At 45.9% G+C, this 23,993-nt stretch overlaps 1 protein-coding gene and 1 long non-coding RNA gene across 11 annotated transcripts in view, besides 7 other annotated features; one reads left to right on the forward strand and one right to left on the reverse strand.

The window, feature by feature from the left end:
- The window catches only part of LNCROPM (lncRNA regulator of PLAAT3 mediated phospholipid metabolism), a 42,655-nt gene extending 38,581 nt beyond the window's left edge, over positions 1-4,074 (forward strand). Inside the window, exon 4 of the long non-coding RNA NR_199012.1 lies at positions 3,899-4,074. This is a non-coding gene — a long non-coding RNA (lncRNA regulator of PLAAT3 mediated phospholipid metabolism). The remainder of the gene's footprint in view (positions 1-3,898) is intronic.
- Positions 1-17,086, reverse strand: part of ATL3 (atlastin GTPase 3) — a 47,888-nt gene extending 30,802 nt beyond the window's left edge. For 7 of the 10 annotated variants that reach the window (NM_001440722.1, NM_001440721.1, NM_001440719.1 and 4 more), the window contains exons 1-3: positions 16,402-16,488; positions 4,150-4,364; positions 3,873-4,016 (exon numbers count right to left, since the gene is read on the reverse strand). In NM_001440722.1, coding sequence (NP_001427651.1) covers positions 3,873-4,016; positions 4,150-4,364; positions 16,402-16,447 — 405 coding nt within the window. In that variant the 5' untranslated portion in view covers positions 16,448-16,488. Of the gene's footprint in view, positions 1-3,872; positions 4,017-4,149; positions 4,365-16,401; positions 16,524-16,747 lie in introns of those variants that run through there. The other 3 variants (NM_001440720.1, NM_001290048.2, XM_047426725.1) reach the window with 2 other exon arrangements.
- Positions 15,853-16,354: an enhancer, noted in NCBI's record as "H3K27ac hESC enhancer chr11:63438213-63438714 (GRCh37/hg19 assembly coordinates)". NCBI's record gives its function as "activates a minimal SCP1, AML or CMV promoter by ChIP-STARR-seq in primed H9 embryonic stem cells {active_cell/tissue: H9 hESC(primed)}" and the evidence as "EXISTENCE:reporter gene assay evidence [ECO:0000049][PMID:30033119]".
- Positions 15,853-16,364: a biological region, named in NCBI's record as "H3K27ac hESC enhancer GRCh37_chr11:63438213-63438714".
- Positions 16,015-16,274: a silencer, noted in NCBI's record as "silent region_3438". NCBI's record gives its function as "represses an Ori minimal core promoter by ATAC-STARR-seq in GM12878 lymphoblastoid cells {active_cell/tissue: GM12878}" and the evidence as "EXISTENCE:reporter gene assay evidence [ECO:0000049][PMID:35858748]".
- Positions 16,305-16,364: a silencer, noted in NCBI's record as "silent region_3439". NCBI's record gives its function as "represses an Ori minimal core promoter by ATAC-STARR-seq in GM12878 lymphoblastoid cells {active_cell/tissue: GM12878}" and the evidence as "EXISTENCE:reporter gene assay evidence [ECO:0000049][PMID:35858748]".
- Positions 16,355-16,854: an enhancer, noted in NCBI's record as "H3K27ac hESC enhancer chr11:63438715-63439214 (GRCh37/hg19 assembly coordinates)". NCBI's record gives its function as "activates a minimal SCP1, AML or CMV promoter by ChIP-STARR-seq in primed H9 embryonic stem cells {active_cell/tissue: H9 hESC(primed)}" and the evidence as "EXISTENCE:reporter gene assay evidence [ECO:0000049][PMID:30033119]".
- Positions 16,685-16,804: a silencer, noted in NCBI's record as "silent region_3440". NCBI's record gives its function as "represses an Ori minimal core promoter by ATAC-STARR-seq in GM12878 lymphoblastoid cells {active_cell/tissue: GM12878}" and the evidence as "EXISTENCE:reporter gene assay evidence [ECO:0000049][PMID:35858748]".
- Positions 16,895-17,004: an enhancer, noted in NCBI's record as "active region_4874". NCBI's record gives its function as "activates an Ori minimal core promoter by ATAC-STARR-seq in GM12878 lymphoblastoid cells {active_cell/tissue: GM12878}" and the evidence as "EXISTENCE:reporter gene assay evidence [ECO:0000049][PMID:35858748]".

Here is a 23,993-nt window from a genome sequence, read left to right on the forward strand (position 1 = left end):
CTGTCTAAAAAAAAAAAAAAAAGTTGTTTTCTGTTAATTTTAATATCTGTGTTAGTTCTGAGACAGTTTTGATTGATTTTTCTCCTCATTTGGGTTATATTTTTCTGCTTCTTTTATGTCTGCAAATTTTTGATAGGATGTAGACTTGTGGATTTTCCCTTGTTGGGTGCTGGTTATTTTTGCATTCCTATAAAATATCTAGCTTTATTCTGAGATGTAGTTAAGTAATTTGGAAACTCTGGTTTTTTCTGTTCTTGCTGTTTAGATTTGTTAAATGGAACCAGAGTGTTGTTATTCCTCATTACTGAGGCAAGACTGAGTACTCTTCCTAATCCCACTGCAATCTCCGCCGCCCAGGTTCCAGCAATTCTCCTGCCTCTGCCTCCCAAGTAGCTGAGATTACAGGTGGGCGCCACCACGCCCAGCTAATGTTTGTATTTTTAGTAGCAACAGGGCATCACCATGTTGGCCAGGCTGGTCTCGAACTCCTGACCTCAGGTGATCCGCCCACCCCAGCCTCCCAAAGTGCTGGGAATACAGGCGTGAGCCACCGCATCTGGCCTTTTTTTTTTTTTTTAGATGGAGTTTAGCTCTTGTTGCCCAGGCGGAAGTGCAATGGTGCGATCTCGGCTCACTGCAACCTCCACCTCCCGGGTTCCAGCGATTCTCCCACCTCAGCCTCCCAAGTAGCTGGGATTACAGGCATGACCCATCACACCCAGCTAATTTTTTGTATTTAGTAGAGATGGGTTTTCACCATGTTGGTCAGGCTAGTCTCAAACTCCTGACTTCAGGTGATCCACCCACCTCGGCCTCCCAAAGTGTGAGATTACAGACGTGCGCCACCGCGCCGGCCAAAGAATTTTAAATGAACATCTTGTGGAACAACTTCAAGCAGCAAGAGGCACATGTAATAGGAGTCTCCAAAGGGAGTAACAGACCAAAAAAACTTGAAGAAATAATAACCTTAAAATGTCCAAATTTGATAAACATTATAAATCTGCAGATTCAAGAAGCTCAACAAAACCCACATACAAATAACATGAACTACATCAGCCTGGCGCAGTGGCTCACGCCTATAATCCCAGCACTTTGGGAGGCCAAGGCGGGCAGATCACGAGGTCAGGAGATCGAGACCATCCTGGCTAACACAGTGAAACCCCGTCTCTACTAAAAATACAAAAACTTAGCCGGGCGTGGTGGTAGGCGCCTGTAGTCCCAGCTCCTTGGGAGGCTGAGGCAGGAGAATGGCGTGAACCCGGGAGGCGGAGCTTGCAGTGAGCCGAGATCACGCCACTGCACTCCAGCCTGGGCGACACAGTGAGACTCCGTCTCAAAAAAAAAAAAAGAACTACATCAAAACACATAATAATTTGCTCAAAAACAGTGATAAAATCTTAAAAGCAACCAGACATACCCTATAAATATATATACCTATGTACCCACGAAAATAAAATTTTTTTTAATTTAAAGAAAAAAGCAACCAGACAAAAAAGACAGATTAGGTACAAAAGAACAAAAATAAGAATAACAGTGTATTTCTTGTCAGAAACAATGTCAGCAGACTGGGCACAGTGGCTCATGCTTGTAATCCCAGCACTTTGGGAAACAGAGGCAGGTGAATAACCTGAGGTCAGGAGTGCAAGACCAGCCTGACCAATATGGCGAAACCCCGTCTCTACTAAAAATACAAAAATTAGCCAGGCGTGGTGGTGCGCGCCTGTAGTCCCAGCTACTCAGAAGGCTGAGACAGGAGAATTGCTTGAACCCGGGAGGCAGAGGTTGAAGTGAGCCGAGATCGCACCACTGCACTCCAGCCTGAGCAACAGAGAGACTCCCTCTCAAAAAAAAAAAAAAGAAACAATGTCAGCAAAAAGGCAAAGGGGCAACACCTTTGAAGTACTGAGAAAAATACGTTGGCCTAGAACTCTACACTAAGAGTAAATATTTTCCAAAACAAAGGCAAAATAAAGATTTTTCAGATGTATGAAAGCTAAAAGAATTCAGTACCAACACTCCAGCACTTCAAAATATCAAAGGTGGCCAGGTGTGGTGGCTCACCCCTGTAATCCCAGCACTTTGGGAGGCTGAGACAGGCGGATCACGAGGTCAGGAGTTCCAGACCAGCCTGGCCAACATTGTGAAACCCTGTCTCTACTAAAAATACAAAAATTATCCAGGCATGGTGGTGTGCACCTGTACTCCCAGCTAATGAGGAGGCTGAGGCAGGAGAATTGCTTGAACCTGGGAGGCGGAGACTGTAGTGACCAAGATGGTGCCACTGCACTCCAGCCTGGGCAACAGAGTGAGACTACATCTCAAAAAAAAAAAAAAAAAAAGGACAAACAGGTGTGAAGGCATGCTTATAGGATTGGGCTAAAAACAGAAGTAATGGATGAAAGTCTGTATAAGAAACACATGACTTACCCCTCCCGATCCTTACAAAGAAATCTGTGGAGAGGCTCTATGCCCATAGCTTACAAGGCATAGATGAGACTGGGGCTAAGAAGCCCTACTGATAGCTAGGGGATAGTGAATGCCCACCTTCTGAACAGTGAGATCCCCAATGCCATTTCCCTGCTCAACTCCCAGAACAACAGCCAGGTCTGTGCCACCCATACAGGAGTAAGGAAGTAAAGAACAGAAGTGGTAACACATAAGAGCATCAGCCTCTGGGAAGTGAAAACTGGGTAGAGAGGAGAATAACACACATGACAGCTGCTTTCTGTTAGAAGCCTTACAGTAGTACCTGACCTTTTAAACTATATTCATGCATTTTATTTAAGAATCTTAAAAACAATCAATATGTATTAATTTTAAATCATTCACTTTGATAAAAAGTTGTTTTCACATCTTCCTTCCTTTTATTGAAAAAAAATTTCAGAAAATAACAGTTCATAAAAGACACAAACAAATCAACAGGTATATACCAGTGGAAAACACAATATGAAACTAAAAATGCCATTGGCTTTTTTTTTTTTTTTTTGAGACGGAGTCTCGTACTGTCGCCCGAGCTGGAGGACAGTGGTGTGATCTCGGCTCACTGCAACCTCTGCCTCCCGGGTTCAAGCGTTTCTCCTGCCTCAGCCTCCCAAGTAGCTGGGATTACAGGCACCCACCACCACACCCAGCTAATTTTTTGTATTTTTAGTAGAGACAGGGTTTCACTATGTTGGCCAGGCTGGTCTCAAACTCCTGACCTTGTGATCTGCCCACCCTGGCCTCCCAAAGTGTTGGTATTACAGACGTGAGCCACAGCACCCGGCTGCCACTGGCTTCTTTAATTGGTTAAGAGCACAAAATGTAACAGGCAGAAGGTCTGTTTCAAACAAATTAAAAAGCTATGTGTTTTTTAAATTCTCCCCAAGTTGGATATACACACACCCACAAAAATAGTGTGTGAAGGAAAGCTGTCATACACAGTAAGTTGTATCCTGAATTATTCAAGGAAACACATGTTGAAATAGGAATTAACAGAGTCAGCAACAGATTAATATTTTTTAACTGAGTCTAAAAATGCTACATAGCCCTAAGGAATACTACATAAAGTACTGCTAGGTACAAACAAAAAAGTCTGTATAGCTTTTAGCAAAAATGTTTTTCCAGAAAAGAAAATTAAAATAATGCAATCAGCAGACCAAGGAGACTACAGCTAGACATCAGAGCTACAACTTCGCATACCTGTGTCAGAAAATCCTATTTATCCACAACAGACTAAAATTTCAGGACAAAACAGGGACTTTTTAACTTTTCTTACTTTACCCATTTTAAATTCTTTGATAAAAGGTTTTTAATTGGGTTAACACAGTACATGCTGAAGTTCATATTTTGTTGTTGTTGTTGTTAATCTGTAAGGTCATTTTCATCCTTACCTTCTTCCCACCTGGCTTCTCCACAGTGAAAACTTCACTCCAGATTTGAATCCCAGTGGTTTCTGGATCAGATCCCCCTCTCCAGGAAAATCCTGTTAACGGTTCTTCTGGGTCACCCAACCAATTTGAATGGCCACTTTCCTTCTACAGAAGTAAGAAATTTCTATTAAATCTTAAATTAAAAATTTTATGCATCAAGGATAATCTATGAGCTTATTTCGCTTTTTTGGACATTAAAGTCTCACTTTTTACTTGAAATAAAATAATTCTATCTTACCTGAGAATATAAGTATCGTAGCATAAAATCCAGAATGAAGGACTTGCCCTTTCGGAAGGCACCAGCCACTGAAACCACCACCACATCAAGATCTCGGATGTGGTCCTGCAAGAGGATGCTGGCCAAGGCTTTCTCATCTAGCTCAAAGGAATGTTGATCTTTCTGAACCAAAACAACCTGCACTGGACCAGGCTTGCTGCTCTCCATGGCATCATCTATGTTCATGCAGAGAAAAAAAATCAGTGTCAAATATTTAAAATATGTTTTTGAATATAGGGAAAACAAAAACTTCTTAAACAGGGGACAGGGCCAGGCTCAATGGCTCATGCCTATAATCACAGCACTTTGGGAAACCAAAGCAGAAAGATTACTTGAGGCCAGGAGTTTCAGACTAGCCTGGGAAACGGTGAAACCCAGCGCTATGAAATTTAAAAAATTAGCCATATGTAGTGGTGTATACCTGTAGTCCTAGCTACTTGGGAGGCTGAGGCAGGAAGACTGCTTGAGCCCAGGGGTTTGAGGTTACAGTGAGCTATGACCACACCACTGTACTCCAACCTGGGTGACAAAACTAAACAAAACAAAAAACGGACACAAAAATACTAACCATAAAAGGGCAGGGCACAGTGGTTCGCCCCTGTAATCCCAGCACTTTGGGAAGCCGAGGTGGGTGGATCACTTGAGGTCAGGAGTTCAAGACCAGCCTGGCCAACATGACGAAACCCCATCTCTACCAACAAATACAAAAATTAGCTGGGTGTGGTGGCACGCACCTGTAAGTCCTAGCTACTCGGGAGGCTGAGGCACGAGAATAACTTGAAACTGGGAGGCAGAGGTTGCAGTGAGCCGAGATCATGCCATTGCACTCCCACCTGGGTGACAGATAAGACCCTGTCTCAAGTTAATGGGTGCAGCACACCAGCATGGAACATGTATACATATGTAACTAACCTGCACATTGTGCACATGTACCCTAAAACTTAAAGTATAATAATAATAAAAAATAAATAAAATAAAATGTTGTTAAAAAAAAAAAGACCCTGTCTCAAAGAAAAAAAGTACTATCCATAAAAGAAAATAAAATGACAACACAGACTTCATTAAAATTAAAAACTTTGTTCACTTAAAGACTTCAATAAGTAAAAATGCAAGCCATGGGCTAGGGAAGAGTATTCACAATATCTGTTTCCAAAGGACCCACATCCAGCATCAACATAGCAATCCATAAGAAAAAAATAACAGGCACTTTGTAAGAAAAAGATATACAAATCCTATTAAAAGGTACTTCCATATCATTACTTAACAGGGAAATCTAAATTAAAACCACAATAAGATACCACTACCTGCCCATCAGAATGGCTAAAATTTAAAGACTGACAATATCAACTGTGGGACAGGGTATGAAGCAACCGCAATTCTCACACATTCTGATAGGAGCACAAAATACTAAAGCCACTTCAAAAAACTGTTTGGCTGTATCTACAAAAATTAAATATATCTGTGATCCAGCAATTCTACTCCTAGGTATACACCTAAGAGAAATGAATGCCTATGTCCACCAAAAAACATATATACAAGAATGTTGAGCTGGGCATGGTGGCTCGCACATATAGTCCCAGCTACTTGGAGAGCTGAGGCAGGAGGATTACTTGGGCCCAGGAGTTCAAGACCAACCTGGACAATATTGCAAGACTCTATCTCAAAAACAGAAAGTTCATTATCAGCTTTACTCAAAACAGTCCAAAAGTGGAAATAAAACAATGTCTATCAATAATAGTGTTTGCCACTGCTAAGCTTTATTTAGATATATATATACACATATATATATATTATTTAATCCTCAGAACAACTCTTTGATGTAAATAATACTGCTCCATTTTAAGAAGAAGGAAATGGCCAGGCTCAGTGGCTCACATTTACAATCTCAGCACTTTGGGAGGCCAAGGCAAGCTGATCACTTGAGGTCAGGAGTTCAAAACCAGCCTGGCCAACATGGTAAAGCCCCGTCTCTATAAAAATACAGAAAAAAAAAAAAATTAGCCATGCGTGGTGTCGCACGCCTGTGGTCCCAGCTACTGAAGAGGCTGAGGGAGAAGAATTGCTTGAACCGGGAGGCAGAAGCTGCAGTGAGCCGTGATCGCGCCACTGCACTCCAGCCTGGGTGGCAGAGTGAGACTTGGTCTCAAAAAAAAAAAAAAAGAAGGAAATGAAGGCTTATGAAGGTTCAGCATATTGCCCAACAGGTCCTAGATATAAGCTCAAAAAGATCTTTAGGTGGTTGTATTTTGCATATCACTAGTAATAACTCAAAAAGTTTTAGAAGCTATTAATTCTATAGTTCAAAATTAAGCACTAACTATATTATACTTTCCTTACCAGAGTTTCCCTACCAAAGCACAAAGATAACTAATTAATTTGAAATTCAGGCCAGGCACAGCATCCACGCCTGTAATCCTAGCACTTAGAGAAGCTGAGATGGCAGGATTGCTTGAGGCCAGGAGTTCAAGACCAACTTGGCCAATATAGCGAGAGACTGTCTTAAAGAGAAGAGAAGAGAAGAGAAGGCAAGGGGCCGGGCGTGCTGGCTCACCTGCGCAATCCCAGCACTTTGGGAGGCCGAGGCGGGCAGATCACCTGAGGTTGTGAGTTCCAGACCAGCCTGACCAACATGGAGAAACCCCATCTCTACTAAAAATACAAAATTAGCCCGGTGTGGTGGCACGTGCTTGTAATCCCAGCTACTTAGGAGGCTGAGGCAGGAGAATCGCTTGAACCCAGTAGGTGGAGGTTGTGGTGAGCTGAGATTGCACCACTGCACTCCAGCCTGGGCAAAAGAGTGACACTCCGTCTCAAAAAAAAAAAGTGAAAAGAAAGCAAGAAGGAAATTCATTCAGGCTAGACATGGTGGCTCACACCTGTAATCCCAGCACTTTGGGGGCCAAGGCAGGCGTGTCACCTGAGGTCAGGAGTTCGAGACCACCCTGGTCCAACATGGTGAAACTCCATCTCTACTAAAAATACAAAAATTAGCCGGGCGTGGTGGTGGGTGCCTGTAATCCCAGCTACTCCAGAGGCTGAGGCAGGAGAATTACTTGAACCTGCACGGTGGAGGCTGCAGTGAGCCAAGACCGTGCCACTGCACTCCAGCCTAGATTTCAGAGCAAGACTCTATCTCAAAAAAAAAAAAAAAAAGAAAGAAAGAAAGAAATTCAGAGCCACTTAGTAGCTGTGGACTTATGGGAAGTTCACAAAAAACTACCAGTGGGGCGTAAGGAATGAATAAAGAACTATTTCCCTAAGAGTATGTGTCACTGGTATTAAAGATGTTTTTAGGTAGTTAAAAGGACATAGTAATTTTAATAATTATGCATGTTAATGTATACTTTAAAACAACAAATCTGTATTTTGATAAATTATTCTTTAGAAGGATGCTAAGTTTAAGAAGTCTGTTTATTTATTTAAGACAAGGTCTGGCTCTATAACTCAGGCTGGAGTGCAATGGCACAATCTTGCCTCACTGCAACCTCTGCCTCTCCGGCCCAAGTCATCCTCCCACCTCAGCCTCCCAAGTAGCTGGGACTACAGGCATTCATCACCACACCCAGCTAATTTTTGTATTTTTGGAGAGACAGTGTTTCACCATGTTGCCCAGGCCCGTCTTGAACTCCTGAGCTCAAATGATCCACTCGTCTCAACCTCCCAAAGTGTTGGGATTACAGCGACACCGTACCCAGCCAAGAAGTCAATTTAAAGTCGACTTAAGGAGACATATTAAGTAAAGCTTAGTACTGACAGGCAGACATGGCCAAAATCACAGCGACACAGTACCCAGCCAAGAAGTCCATTTAAAGTAGACTTAAGGAGACATAGTAAGTAAAGCTTAGTACTGACAGGCAGACATGGCCAAAATCACAAAGATGGTTCCAAAATGACTTTGTCTAACCAGCACTGAAGGCTACACGATCATGGCAGGCAAAGCAGACAAAACAGTTTGACTGCAAGACTCTCTCCCCTTCAAGCTACTGGAATTGCTGCTCACTTTTTACATTTATAGTATCAGATAGCAACAGAAGGGTTCTTCGCACTTTTTTTTTTTTTGGAGACAGTATTTTGCTCTGGCACACAGGCTGGAATGCAGTGGTGCAATCCTAGCTTACTGCAGCCTCAAACTCCTGGGTTCAAGCAATCCTCCCACCTCAGCCACCAGAGTAGCTGGCAGTACAGGTGTGTGCCACCATGCCTGGCTAATTTTTTAATTTTTTTGTAGAGATGGGGGTCTCATTATGTGGCCCACATTAGTCTCAAACTCCTGGGCTCTAGTGATCCTCTCACCTCAGCCTCCCAGAATGCTGGGATGATAGGCCACTGTGAATGTGGATGATAGCCACTGTGGCTGGCTTCTTCCTACTTTTTAAGTTTTTGCAGACTATTGGAAAACAAGTTATAAATATAGGTTAAATGTCATGCTATCATTGTAATCAATGTATACTAATACTTTTCTTTCCTGTTATTGCCTGGATTAAAAAGGAAACACTTCTGTGAATAATCTCTTAGGGTTCTTATTGCCCCAGCAGCAGGTAAATCCAAGATCCAAAGACCTTCAGTCTTTCATACAAAGAACTAATGAGAAGAATTTATTCAGACTTCAGGGATAAGCCACAGTGTTAAGTACTGTGTAGCACTCAAAGAAATACAAAACAAAGTCTTGATTGTGGCAGAGATGTCTGGTTGTTCCCCCAATATTAATTTCTCCCTCCTGCTATATAATAGATTTTTAGCTGGGCATACAACTGCCCAGAAGAAACACATTTCCAACCCAAATTTATAGCTAGGATATGACCAGGTGACTAAATTCTGAACAATGGGAAGTGACTGGAAATAACAGACACAACTTCCAGATCAGGCATTTTCCCCCTGCTTGCTGGCTAGATGTAAAAGTGGGAGTGAATCATCTTGGGCCAGGCATATGAGGGCAACACCCCAGGAATGCTGGAGAAACAAGAGAGGTCAGATTTCGTATAGCAGAACTGCCATATTGGTTCACTTCTGTGTGAAAGAAAAATAAATGTCTACCTTGCTTAAATCACTTATTTGGAGGCTCCATCAAATACAGCCAAGCCTAGCAGCCAACACAACAGTCTTCCAGGACTTTACAATTAAGTTCATCATACCAGATCTTTTTGTTTTATCTATTTCACTATTAAAAGTTTACTGAGCGAGGCCAGCCTCGGTGGCCCATGCCTGTAATCCCAGCACCTTGGGAGGCCGAGGCAGGCAGGTCACTTGAGGTCAGGAGTTCGAGACCACCCTGGCCAACATGGTGAAACCCCATCTCTACCAAAAATATAAAAAATTAGCTGGGCGTGGTGGTAGGCACCCGTAATCCCAGCTACTCGGGAGACTGAAGCAGGAGAATCGCTTGAACCCGGGAGGCAGAGGTTGCTGTGAGCCAACATTGCGCCACTGCACTCTAGCCTGGGCAACAGAGCGAAACTCTGTCTTTTAAAAAAAAGCGTACTGAGCAATGTGAATGTAATGAGCAATATCAATGTAATGACACACAGCACATACAATAAGCTATTGTTTTTTTGTTTTTTTTTTTTGAGACGGAGTCTCGCTCTGTTGCCCAGGCTGGAGTGCAGTGGCGCGATCTTGGCTCAGCGCAACCTCCGCCTCCCGGGTTCAAGCGACTCCCGAGCAGCTGGGACCACAGGCATGCACCTCCATGCCCGGCTAATTTTTGTATTTTTAGTAGATAGAAGGTTTCACCATATTGGCCAGGCTGGTCTCGAACTCCTAACCCTGTGATCCACCTGCCTCAGCCTCCCAAAGTGCTGGGATTACAGGCGTGAGCCACCGCACCCGGCCAATAAACTATTGTAAAATGAATGAATGACATGTACCATAATGTGGTTGAAGGCTACAACCCAAAGGATCCAAGTGGCATTGTCAGAGCAGTAGACATGGAAGATAAAGTTACGTGGTTACAAGATGGGGTAATCCAATGATAAGAATGTATACAGTTGAGACTGGGCATGGGGGCTCATGCCTGTCAATCCCAACACTGGAAGGCCAAGGTGGGTGGATCACCTGAAGTCAGGAGTTCAAGACCACCCTGACCAACATGGAGAAACTCTGTCTCTACTAAAAATACAAAATTAGCTGGGCGTGGTGGCACATGCCTGTAATCCCAGCTACTCGGGAGGCTGAGGCAGGAGAATCGCTTGAACCCCGGGAGGCGGAGGTTGCGGTGAGCTGAGATTAAGCCATTGCACTCCAGCCTGGGTGACAGAGTGAGACTCCATCTCAAAAAAAAAAAAAAAAAAGAAGAATGTATACAGTTGTGTACAGTGAACTGCACTTCAAGAGAAGCTGAAGACTACTGAGGACAGCTATGGGGGAAAAGTCCTTACTCATCTCTTCCTCTCCCTGTAGCACGGTACCCAAGAATAAAGGAAGGGAACCAGGCTCTGTTTAGTTGGAAGAGCTGGGGTGATTCTGCATTTCTCTTCACACCAGTAATATAAGCATGATTATCAACACCCACCAGATTAAAAAAGATCTTGTTGGCCAGGCATGGGAGGTCTCGCCTATAATCCTAGCACTTTTGGGAGGTTGAGGCAGGCAGATCACCTGAGATCAGGAGTTCGAGACCAGCCTGGGCAACACGGCGAAACCCCATCTCTACTAAAAATATGAAAATTAACCAGGCTTGGTGGTAACGCGCCTGTAATCCCAGCTACTTGGTATCACTTGAACCTGGGAGGCAGAGGTTGCAGTAAGTCAACCACTGCACTACAATCAGGACAACAGAGCAAGACCCTGTCTCAAAAAAAAAAAAAGATGTTGTTCACTGACAGTGATCCTTGGGTTTGGGCTTATGTAAGGGAAGAATTATTTTGAGCTGTACACACCAATAATGCAAGTTAAATGGAGCTGCTTATATATTACACCTTTTTTAAGACTGGGTCTCACTCTGTTGCACAGGCTAGAGGTGCGGTGGTGCAATCATGGTTCACTGCAGCCTCAACCTACCGGGCTCAGGCAATCCTCCCACCTCAGCCTCCCAGTATCATCTCACTGCAACCTCTGCCTCCTGGGTTCAAGCAATTCTCCTGCCTCAGCCTCCTAAGTAGCTGGGATTACAGGTACCCACCACCACGCCTAATTTTTGTATTTTTAGTAGAGGTGGCGTTTCACCACCTTGGCCAGGCTGGTCTCGAACTCCTGACCTCAGGTGATCCACCCGCCTCAGCCTCCCCAAGTACTGGGATTACAGGCGTGAGCCACCGCGCCCGGCCTACCCTCTATTTGGATGATACAACTTCACAGATCTCTAACTTGCATTTAGTCTAAATGTACAACTGCCTAAGGGACAGATTCACCTGCTTACTCTCAGAAGTAACCTGTGGAAATATACAAATTTAGGACTCAAAACACAAGTTCCTGTTCCAGCCCTGCCACTAACAACCTGTGTGATCCTGGGCATGTCTAGTTTTCAGTTTCATCACTAAAATGGGTCAAGTGCTAACTGGGTGTGGTGGCTCATGCATGTAATCCCAGCACTTTGGGAGGCCGAGGGGGGTGGATCGCACACCGTGCGATCAAGTGATCTATCCACCTCAGACTCTCAAAGTGCTGGGATTACAGGCATGAGCCACCGTGCCCGGTCCACTTGTCAGGAATCTTAAACTCTGGAGATCTAGTCTCCGGGGAGGGTACTAAAAATATCTGTAAGTGGCAACTTTACATGCCTTGTCCCTTTAGAGAAGCAATTATTTTCCAAGGTCTAATTCTGCATACTGCAACAACAGTTAATGCTGTATTACATTACTTACATGAATATGGATAACGTGATGTTTTTGCACAGACACAAAGCTACAGCTGGACCACTGTTACATCTATCATTCATATGTATTTATGTGAATTTACAACATATGTTTAAAATTCCAGAAATAAACAATTCGTAAGTCTTAAGATTGCAACGCAGTTCTTAGTACCATGATGAAATCTTGTGCTATCCTGCCTGGGACATGAATCATTCCCTTTTCCAGAGTATCCACACTGTATATGCTACCATGCCCATTAGTTATTTAGTAGCCTTCTCACTGATCAACGTAGTGTATACAGGGCTCAGTGCTATCAGCAGTTTCAGGCATCCACTGGGGGCCTTACAATATATGCCCCTCAGATAATGGGGACTACTTCATTGCTGTAAATAGCTCATGATAATATTCTATCACTCATCAGTTCAAGTATGTAGAAAATGTTGAAAATCTTTGTATAATTAGAAAGCATTTTTTTTTTTTTGAGACAGATTCTTGCTCTGTCGCCCAGGCTGGTGAGCAGTGGCGTCATTCCTGCTCACTGCAACCTCCACCTCCCAGGTTCAAGTGATTCTCCCACCTCAGCCTCCCAAGAGTTTAGGATTCCTGAGAAGTGGGCCGGGTGCAATGGCTCACGCCTGTAATCCCACCACTTTGGGAGGCCAAGGCGGATGGATCATTTGCAGCCAAGAGTTTGAGACCAGCCTGACCGATATAGTGGAACCCTGACTCTACTGAAAATTCAAAAAAATTGGCCAGGCGTGGTGGTGCATGACTGCAGTCCCAGCTACTCGGGAGGCTGAAGCAGGAGAATCACTTGAACTTGGGAGATGGAGGCTGCAGTGAGCTGAGATCGCGCCATTGCACTCCAGCCTGGGTGACAGAGCGAGACTCTGTATCAAAAAAAAAAAAAAAAAATGACAGTGTAGACTAGGGTTTCTCAACCTCAGCACTACTGACATATTGACATTGGAGCTGCACAACTGTTGTGGGGGGCTATCCTACGCACTACAGGCTATTGAGCAGCATCCCTGGCCTCTACCCACTAGATACCAGTAACACTCCCCACAACAGGTTCTAACACCCAAAAAACGTCTCCAGTCATTGCTAAATGCTCCAGGGGCAGGAAGAGGCAATATTACCATAGGTTAAGAACCACTGAGTAGAGTCAGCCTTGGTGTTTATCCTTACCATTCAAAGAGTTCTGAATACAAAGTAACCAACCAGTCACAGAAACACTTTGCTGAGTAGATTCATGTATGACTCAGGGTAAAGTTATGACCTGAGTTTTCCAGTCTCCTTATAAAATATCATATTCTCCAAAGGGCAAGAGCAACACACCCAAAACAGAGGCATACCATTTTCATGCCTTGTTCTTGCTGGCAGTCTTTAAGGTTTCTAACTGACAAAGCCAGAGAAAACATCATCACAGGCAAGAGTAAGTATACTAAGACCTTAGCCAACTCTAGAACTGCTGGGTGTGGTTCCTTCTGGTGGTGGAGGGGTGGGTGCTTTTATATACCGTTTTGTCTTAAGGCAGTGATTGTGCCAGTAGATACACTGCAATACGCTTAAGGCTGTTTCAGTGAAAATACTATTTAAATCTAATTAACCAGAATACTGGGCAAATTTTATATTTGTCTGTTGTAGAAAATCTTTTCGCCATAGCACAGAAGGCTGAACAAAACCATATTTTTTGTTGTTGACTAAGGATTGTGTAATGCTTCATAGGTTTACAAAAATTATCTATGACTAAATGGTACTGAAGATTCAGAAAATCCAAGGAGAGGGCTGAATCTGAAAATGATGCCAGGCTATATCACAAGTGGAGGAAAAAAACCTTTTTAATGGAATGAGCTCAGTAACACTTTTGTATCTCTTTCCTAAGAATAAGAATGCCACCAAAGGTTTGAATTAGCTGTGTTCCTTTTTTTTTTTTTTTTTTTTTTTTGAGACAAGGTCTCACTCTGTTGCCTAGGCTGGAGTGCAGTGGCAAGAACAAGGCTCACTGCAGAAAAAAGAAAAAAAAAAAGGCTCACTGCAGCCAACTTCCTGGGCTCACTCCATCCTCTCACCTCAGCCTCCTGAGTAGCCAGAACTACAGGCCTGCAACACCACGTTGGCTAACTTTTTTTTAATTTTTTTTTGGGTGGGGGGGGGCGTCTCACCATGTTGGCCAGGCTGGTCTTGAACTCCTGACCTCAGGTGATCCACCTGCCTCAGCCTCCCAAAATGCTGGGATTACAGGAGTAAACCACAGCTCCCGGCCAAGTAAGGATTTCCTAATTAGCGCCTACTATACCAGGAAAGCCTGTCTTCTAATCTGTTAACATACTTCAGCTGTGAAATATATCTAAGGTGTTCTGACAATCGAAATACCACGCAACTGGGCCAGGCGCCGTGGCTCACACCTGCAATCCCAGCACTTTGGGAGGCCGAGCTAGGAGGATCACCTGAGGTCAGGAGTTCAAGATCAGCCTGGCAAACATGGTGAAACCCCGTCTCTACTAAAAATACAAAAATTACCCAGGCGCGGTGGAGGGCGCCTGTAATCCCAGCTACCTGGGAGGCTGCGGCAGGAGAATCGCTTGAACCTGGGAGGCGGAGGTTGCAGTGAGCAGAGATCGCGCCATTGCACTCCACCCTGGGCGAGAGAGCAAGACTCCTTCTCACCAGAAGAAAAAAAAAGAAAAGAAAAAGAAAATTAAGCTAGTACACAACACCACATCTATCCCGTTACTTCTATTTCATGAATTCTACTACAATGAGGTAGTAAACTGTAGCTAATACAATAATGGGCCGGGCACGATGGCTCACGCCTGTAATCCCAGTACTTGGGAGGCCGAGGAGAGGAGGGTGGTTCACCTGAGGTCAGGAGTTCGAGACCAGCCTGGCCAACGTGGTGAAACCCCGTTTCTACTAAAAATACAAAAAATTAGCTGGGCCTGGTGGCGGATGTCTATAATCCCAGCTACTCGGGAGGCTGACGCAGGAGAATCATTTGAACCCAGGAGGCGGAGGGTGCAGTGAGCCGAGACTGCGCCACTGTACTCCAGTTTAGGTAGCAAAAACGAAACTCCGTCTCAAAAAAAAATAGCCGCGCATGGTGGAGAGCGCCTGTAATCCCAGCTACCCGGGAGGATGAGGCAGAAGAATTGCTTGAACCCAGGAAGCGGAGGTTGCAATCAGCCGAGATCGCGCCATTGCACTCCAGCCTGGGTGACCAGAGCAAAACTCCGTCTCAAAAAATAATAATAAAACAATGTGCTGGACTACTGCAATACTGAGATCCTTCTCAGCCAAGTGTTTACAGGTGTTAGAGCGGCAACAGGAATTTCTGGAGTACAAGCTAATCTCTGTGGGAATGGAAAAAAAAAAGCACTAATTTGAATTTCAGTACCTATGTTGCAATGCTAAATTCTTGACAGGGATTAGTACTCCGTAGGTTATGCTTCTTAAATCTCCAAAAGTAAGCCAATATGTGAAATCGTACATTTTTGGTCCGTTATTCTAAGACTGACAAAACGTTCCATTGCTTCGTATTTGAATTTGAGAACTGAGACTCATTTAAAAATTCTTCACTGTTCTTTTCCTTTTTGCTCTTCGATTTCGCAAGTGAAACGGTCATTTCAACAGCACACACATTACACTAGAATAAAGCCAAGTAAAATGACAGACTAAATCAGATCCGTGAATACACGGTGACTCCTTATTTGGTTTTTAATACTTTCACTATGTTTCATGTCTTCGGGAAAGCAAAAGAACAACGTACTGTGCCAAAAGCACTAACTTACGAAAAACCAATTTAGACCAATTCTTTACAGCGTTAAGTATGGGTTGAAAACCAACTTTCCTAATACTTGTGGTCAGTGCCTCAAGGTCGTTAGGATAAAAATAAAGCTTCCAAGACACTTCGCAGCCTTCCAGCACTTCCAGAAAGGCCAAATAAACCAGCATTCACCTTCCCGCTCCATCCAGGCCCCGATTCTCCGACCAGAGAGGGCGCTGAGTGCCCGGGCACGGAGGGGCAGCGCCCTGGGGCGCCCGGCTCTGCCCAGGGCGGGGCTCGGCGGGGCCGAAGCTCCGGACGCCGCCCACGGGGACCACCGGCCCTTGGGCCGCCCAGGGGCAGCTGCAGCCCAGGGGAGGAGCTGGAGGAGCCCCCGGCGGCACCAGGGCCCGAGCCCTGACGGCGGCCGCCCCCGGCCGAAAAGTAAGGAAGGTGCCGCCCTCGCTGGACCAGCTGGGCCCGAAGAGGGGCCCCCCCACCACAAATTCGGAAACCGAGTGACCCCGGCGAGGGACGCGCGGTCCCAGCCCCGGGACGAGGAAGGGCGGCGGCGCGGGCGGGGGTTCTTTTCAGAACTACAGCAGGGAAGGCGGCGGGGGTGGCCGCGGGGCGATCCAGGGAAAATCGGCGCCTCACCTGCTCCTCTTGAGGCAGCTGCTGCCACTCGCTGAGGGGACAACATGGAGCCTCCGCCTTCAAAGCAGAAGCAGCAGGGGTGCAGAGGAGAGGGACGGGTGCGGGCGGGAACGAACCGGGCCCTGGAAGCGGGAAACGGGCGGAGCCTGGGCTCTAGAAAAAACTAGCCAGAAGGTGGGGCACGCGGAGCCGCGACGGAGCGAGCGCAGCGCGGTCTGCGTGGCCCAACGGACAGCCCGAGGCGTGGCGAGCGCAGGACGAGGCTAGGCGAGGCGGGGCGGGAAAGCGCACGCGGCAGAATCCCGCCACCGCCTGCCGCGTGTGCGCGAAGCGAGCCGCCGGGTACCTGTTGGCGGGGCGCTGAGTGCTACCGTCCTTTGGGAATTGTAGTCCCGCGCTCACTGGGTCCCGGCCAGCGGTCCTCATACTGCGCACTCATCTGGGGCGGGGCTTGGCGTGGTTCTCCGACGACTGAACTACAACTCCCAGCAGGCTGTGCGGGAAGGGGCGGGCTGGCTCGGGTCCTCCTGCGAGCTGCGGCCGGCGCCTAACGTGCAGACCAGGCCCCAGGCCGAGGCTTTATCCTGGAACCACCAGTGTGAGAGACAGCTTTGGTGTTTAACTAGGCCTGGGACCACAGGTGGGCAGAAGAGAGGCCTCAACCCTGGATGGCATGAACGTCACTGGGTCTTTAATGATTTTGACTTCATAAGGGCAGGTGGCCGTGACTTCATTACCACCTTTATTATCATCTCCCTATATTCCTGTCCCTGGCCATGGCTGATGCGCACCATCACCGCTCTGATAGCTAATGTAAGAAGTCCAGGCCGGGCGCCGTGCCTCACGCCTGTAATCCCAGCACTTTGGGAGGCCGAGGCGGGTGGATCACCTGAGGTCGTGGGCGTTCGAGACCAGCCTGACCAACATGGAGAATCCCCGTCTCTACTAAAAATACGAAATTAGCCAGGCGTAGTGGCGCACGCTTGTAATCCCAGCTAGTCCAGAGGCTGAACAGGAGAATCGCTTGAACCCAGGAGGCGGAGGTTGCAGTGAGCCGAGATCGCACCATTGCACACCAGCGTAGGCAACAGGAGCAAAACTCCATCAAAAAAAAAAAAAAAAAACTTGCACGCACATCCCAGCATTCTCTGCTCCTTTTCCCTGCATTACTTTTCTCCAAAAGACTTCATACCACTTGGCCAGGCGCGGTGGCTCACGCCTGTAATCCCAGCACTTTGGGAGGCTGAGGTGGTTGGATCACCTGAGGTCGGGAGTTCAAGACCAGCCAGGCTAACATGGTGAAACCCCATCTCTTCTAAAAATACAAAAAATTAACCAGGCGTGGTGGCAGGCGCCTGTAATCCCAGCTACTCGGGAGGCTGAGGCAGGAGAGGTTGCATTGAGTGGAGATGGCACCACTGCACTCCAGCCTGGGAGAAAGAGCAAGACTCCATCTCAAAAAAAAAAAAAAAAAAAAAGACTTCCTGCTACTATCTGACTTATGTTTTACCTTTCATTGTGTTTGTCTCTTCCCACTGAATGTAAGTTCCAAACAGATAGGAATTTTTGTCTGTTTTGTTTACTTGTATATCCCCAGTCCCTAAATACTGCTGGCAGATAATAGAGACTCAAATATCTATTGAATTAATGGATGAAGAAGATATATGTTACATCTAACACTGCTCACTCACTTTCTGGTTCCTTTAATATTAAATACCTAACTTTTACTATTGAACAAAATACCCTAGTTTATTTTAAGGGCTCCCCAGAGATTCACTGAAATCCAACTTCTCAGGAAGTGACCAGCAAATACTGATATATGTCTCAATATTACATCATCAAGGTATCAAGGTCAATGTTAGCACATCAGCATTGTAGCCCTTGTAGAAGCTTTTGGCATTTGGAACAAAACAGTACAAATTATAGGTGGACTTAAGGATTAGTCACAACTTAGAAAGCAACCCCTGTAAATGAGAAACATGTTTTGTGTTATTTCCTTCTCAAATATCCAGGGTCATCAAAACACTGGACATTGAAAGTGCCAAATATTGACAATACTGGTTACAGCCTGCCTTCAGCTATCTCACTCTGAATTGAGTTATGTGCTATGATCAGAGGTTGAGCTTCCCTTGAGGTTTTCCAGAAGTAGGTGACATGTAGACATATTTGAGTGGACAGACTACTGGCTTTGGGGTCAGACTTACCTGGCTCTGATGTTCACTAGCTATGCAACCTTGGGCGAGCTACTTAACCTCTCTGAATCCATTTCATCATCTGCAAAATGATTTAAAGACCCACACGGTTGTTCTAGGCTAAGTGAGCTGTGTGTTTGGAAATGATGACTGCGTGGTTAGTGATCAAAATTAGTAATCAGCATATTCATTCTGGAAAAGCAAAATAAAGTCATAAATATTCAAGATACTCAAGTGGTTTATGAAACACAAAAATAGCAAAATTGTTTTCTGCAATGGCATCCACCATGACTCAGGTTCCAAAGCTTTCCAAAAATAGGTCATTTGTTATATGCCAGGTACCGTGATAGGCCATAATGCTGCATAAGACACATTCCTATCCTCCAGAGACTCGCAGTCCTGTGGGATAGACAGCTGAGGAAATATCATTCACTGTGACTGTACTGGGACACAGTTCAGCTTTCTGCCCTCTATGTGCAGGATCATTATTTAAGCAACTTGGAAGGGACAAGTTGGAATACTACATCCCTGGGCATCATTTAAATTTCCATACCTTATTTTGCATGTGTGTAAAATGGGGTAATGATTTGGCATCTTCATTTGTAAAAAGAAAATAGCCAACCCCACTTGATAGGGTCTTATAAAGTTGAATATTAGGTCCTCAACATGGTAACATACTGAAAGCTTAAGACCTTGTCAGCTACTTCATTATTGGTATTTCAGCCAACAGCACAGCGGTCTAACTGGGAGGATCTCTTGAGCCCAGGAGTTCAAGACCAGTCTGGGGGCTGGGGGCAGTGGCTCACACCTGTAATCCCTACACTTTGGGAGGCCGAGGCAGGTGGATCACCTGAGGTCAGGAGTTGGAGACCAGCCTGGCCAACATGGTGAAATCCCGTCTGTACTAAAAATACAAAAACTTAGCCAAGAGTGGTGGCAGGCACCTGTAATCCCAGCTACTCCAGAGGCTGAGGCAGGAGAATCTCTTGAACCCGGGAGGCAGTGGTTGCAGCGAGCTGAGATCCTGCCATTGCATCCAGCCTGGGCAATAAGAGCAAAATTCTGTCACAAACAAACAAACAAACAAAACGGTCTGGGCAACATAGGGAGATCCCATGTCTACCAAAAATAAACAAATAAATTAGCCAGGTATGGTGGGGTACCTGTGGTCCCAGCTACTTGGGAGGCTGAGGTGGGAGGATTGCTTGAGCCTAGGAGGTAGAGGATGCAGTGAGCCATAATTGTAGCACTGCATTACAGCCTGAGCAACAGAGCAAACCCTACCTCCAAAAAAAGAAAGAAAGAAAGAAAGAAAGTGGGGGCGGGGGACAGCGCACAGTGGCTCATGCCTGTAATCCCAGCACTTTGGGAGTCTGAAGCATATGGATCACTTAAGGTCACAAGTTCAAGACCAGCCTGGCCAACACAGTGAAACACTGTCTCTACTAAAAATACAAAAATTAGCCAGGCATGGTGGTGTATGCTTGTAATCCCAGCAACCTGGGAGGCCGAGGCAGGAGTATGGCTTGAACCCAGGAGGCAGAGGTTGCAGTGAGCCAAGATCATGCCACCACTGCATTCCAGCCTGGGTGACAGAGCGACTCCACTAAAAAAAAAAAAAAAAAGGCAGTGGGGATGAGGATACAGATTTGCTATATTCACCTTTGCTTATGTTTGCCACAGGAATATCCTAATAGTGGCCAGGCTCGGTGGCTCACGCCTGTAATCCCAGCATTTTGGGAGGCCGAGGCAGGCAGATCACGAGGTCAGGAGATCGAGACCATCCTGGCTAACACGGTGAAACCCCGTCTCTACTAAAAATACAAAAAATTAGCTGGGCGTGGTGGCGGGTGCCTGTAGTCCCAGCTACTTGGGAGGCTGAGGCAGGAGAATGGCGTGAACCCAGGAGGCAGAGCTTGCAGTGAGCTGAGATCGCAGCATTGCACTCCAGCCTGGGCGACACAGCAAGACTCCATTTCAAAAAAAAAAAAAAGAGAAAATCCTAATAGTAGCTACCTATATGTGTGTAGAGGAGTGGAGGGAGTTAGTGATAAAACTTTACAATATATATATTCCTGAATATTTGTGTACGTATATATGAATGATCTGTGACTACATATCAAATTTTTTTTTGAGATAGAGTTTCACTCTGTCGCCCAGGCTGGAGTGCAGTGGCGCAATCTTGGCTCACTGCAACTTTTGCTTCCCAGATTGAAGCGAGTCTCCTGCCTCAGCCTTCTGAGTAGCTGGGACAACAGGCATGTGCCACCAGGCTCGGCTAATTTTTTTGTATTTTTAGTAGAGACAGGGTTTCACGATGTTAGGCAGGCTGTTCTCCAACTCCTGACCTCAGGCAGTCTGGCTACCTCGGCCTCCCAAAGTGCTGGGATTACAGGTGTGAGCCACTGCGCCCGCCCTTCAAATGTCTTAATTTAAAATATATAATTTTTAAAAATTTAAAAATAAAATAAAATATATAATTTTTTCTAAAAGTCAAGAAAATATAGGGTAATTAGATGGCTTAGAAGTTAAACTGGGAAATTATCTGTATAGGCCGAGCACAGTGGCTCAAGCCTGTAATCCCAGCACTTTGGGAGGCTGAGGTGGGCCAATCACCAGAGGTCAGGAGTTCAAGAACAGCCTGGCCAACATGGTGAAACCCCATCTCTAGTAAAAATATAAAAATTAGCTGGGCTTGGTAGCGTGCACCTGTAATCCTAGCCAGTGGGGAGGCTGATGCAGGAGAATTGCTTGAACTAAGGAGGCGGAGGTTGCAGTGAGCTGAGATCATGCCATTGCCCTCCAGTGTGGGCGACAAGAGCAAAACTCCGTCTCGAAAATAAAGAAATTATCTGTATAAGATACCAGTCCTGGCCAGGAGTGGTGGCTCATGCCTGTAATCTCAGCACTTTGGGAGGCCGAGGCGGGTGGATCACCTGAGGTCAGGAGTTCGAGACCAGCCTGACCAACATGGAGAAACCCTGTCTCTACTAAAAATACAAAATTAGCCGGGTGTGGTGGCACATGCCTGTAGTCCCAGCTACTCCAGAGGCTGAGGCAGGAGAATCGCTTGAATCCGGGAGGCAGAGGTTGCGGTGAGCCAAGATCGCACCATTGCACTCCAGCCTGGACAACAAGAGCAAAACTCCGTCTCAAAAAAAAAAAATACCAGTCCTTACTACGTACTCACACATGCACACAAAAATACCAGTCCTATAAAGACAGGGCCAAAGAATAAGAGACCTAGCACAGCGCCTCAGGTGTTCAAGGGAACTTCAGAGAAATGGCCATACTCCAGTGTGCTCTTTATTTTTCTTTCTTTTTTTTTTTTTGAGATGGAGTCTCGCTCTGTTGCCCAGGCTGGAGCGCAGTGGCGCGATCTCGGCTCACTGCAGGCTCCACCTCCCGGGTTCACACCATTCTGCTGCCTCAGCCTCCTGAGTAGCTGGGACTACAGGTACCCGCCAGTAAGCCCGGCTAATTTTTTGTATTTTTAGTAGAGACGGGGTTTCACTGTGTTAGCCAGGATGGTCTCGATCTCCTGACCTCGTGATCCACCCACCTCGGCCTCCCAAAGTGCTGGGATTACAGGCGTGAGCCACCGCGCCTGGAGTTATTTTATTTTTCAAGATGAGGTCTCGCTATATTGTCCAGGCTGGTCTTGAACTCTTGGGCCCAAGCCATCCTCCTGCCTTGGCCTCTCAAAGTGTAGGGATTACAGAGGTGAGCCACCATGACAGCCAGGGAGCACTTTAAAAATTCCATCTTGGGCCGGGCGCGGTGGCTCACGCCTGTAATCCCAGGACTTTGGGAGGCTGAGGCAGGCAGATCACGAGGTCAGGAGTACAAGACCAGCCTAGCCAACATGGTGAAACCTCGTCTCTACTAAAAATATAAAAATTAGCCAGGCATGGTGGCATGGGCCTGTAGTCCCAGCTACTCGGGAAGCTGAGGCAGAAGAATCACTTGAACCCAGGAGGTGGAGGGTGCAGTCAGCTGAGATCATGCCACTGCACTCCAGCCTGGGTGACAGAGTGAGACTCCATCTCAAAAAAAAAAAAAATCCCATCTTGGACAAAAAAAAGGAAAAAAAAAATCCCAGCTGAGCCATTTCCCACCAAAAACTTCCACTCAATCCCCATTATTCTTAAGACAAAGCCTCAGTTCTTTGGTTCAATACTACTGCTTCTCCAAAAACTGGCCCCAACATATCTTCCTCATTTTAGATGTTATCCCTATATCTTCCCTCCTGTCCTAATTCAAGCCTTCAGCTCCAGCCAATTTGGTCTAACCAACACCCAAGACACCTTATACACGCTCACGTCTGAGCCTTTAGCCACCACATATGGCTGTACAGTCTGAGTGTTACACCAAGGCAGCTTGTGGAGACAAGGGGCAAGAGGGGATCAAATCTAGGTGAGGTTCTGCTAGCCAAATCAGCATGGAACTGTATCATGGGTGGGGCTGGGAGAAAGAGGTTCTTTTTTGTGATTCATCTGCCCAGAAGAGTACTTTTTTTGTATACATTCACAAAAGCAACCCCTGTATTTGCTTCATACCATCCTTTTCTGCTTTTAATGACTTCCTTACAATTCCAAACACCTATCTAACTTTGAGCATCTTCACAAAACCTCCTGGCTGGGCGCAGTGGCTCACGCCTGTAATCCCAGCACTTTGGGAGGCCGAGGCAGGCAGATCACGAGGTCAGGACATCGAGACCATCCTGGCTAACACAGTGAAACCCCGTCTCTACTAAAAATACAAAAAATTAGCCAGGCACGGTGGCACGCACCTGTAGTCCCAGCTACTCGGGAGGCTGAGGCAGGAGAATCACTTAAACCTGGGAGGCAGAGGTTGCAGTGAGCCGAGATCGCACCACTGCACTCCAGCCTGGGTGACAGAAAAAAAAAAAAAACCTCCCTAAGCCACTACAACTTCATGGTAATTCCTTCCCCTCGTTGTTTTTGTTTTTGTTTTTGTTTTTGTTTGAGGTGGAGTCTCACTGTGTTGCCCAGGCTGGAGTGCAGTGGCATGATCTTGGCTCATTGCAACCTCTGCCTCCCAGGCTCAGGTGATTCTCGTGCCTCAGCCTCCCGAGTAGCTGGGATTACAGGTACACACCACTATGCCTGGGTAATTTTGTATTTTCAGTAGAGATGGGGTTTCTCCATGTTGGCCAGACTAGTCTCAAACTTTTGACCTCAGGTGATCCGCCTACCTTGCCCTCCCAAAGTGCTGGGATTACAGGCGTGAGCCACTGCGCCTGGCCCCTCTCTTTTAAATTCATTTAATTTACTTGCCATCTAATCAAAGCACTATGGTTTTATGGTGTTTGGGGTTGTTTTTAGTTGCTATTTAATTTATATTATTTAACTTTATGTGAGTATGTTTTTTGTCCTA

The sequence above is a fragment of the Homo sapiens genome, chromosome 11 (assembly GCF_000001405.40).
Source record: "Homo sapiens chromosome 11, GRCh38.p14 Primary Assembly".
In the NCBI taxonomy this organism is placed as follows: Eukaryota; Metazoa; Chordata; class Mammalia; order Primates; family Hominidae; genus Homo; species Homo sapiens.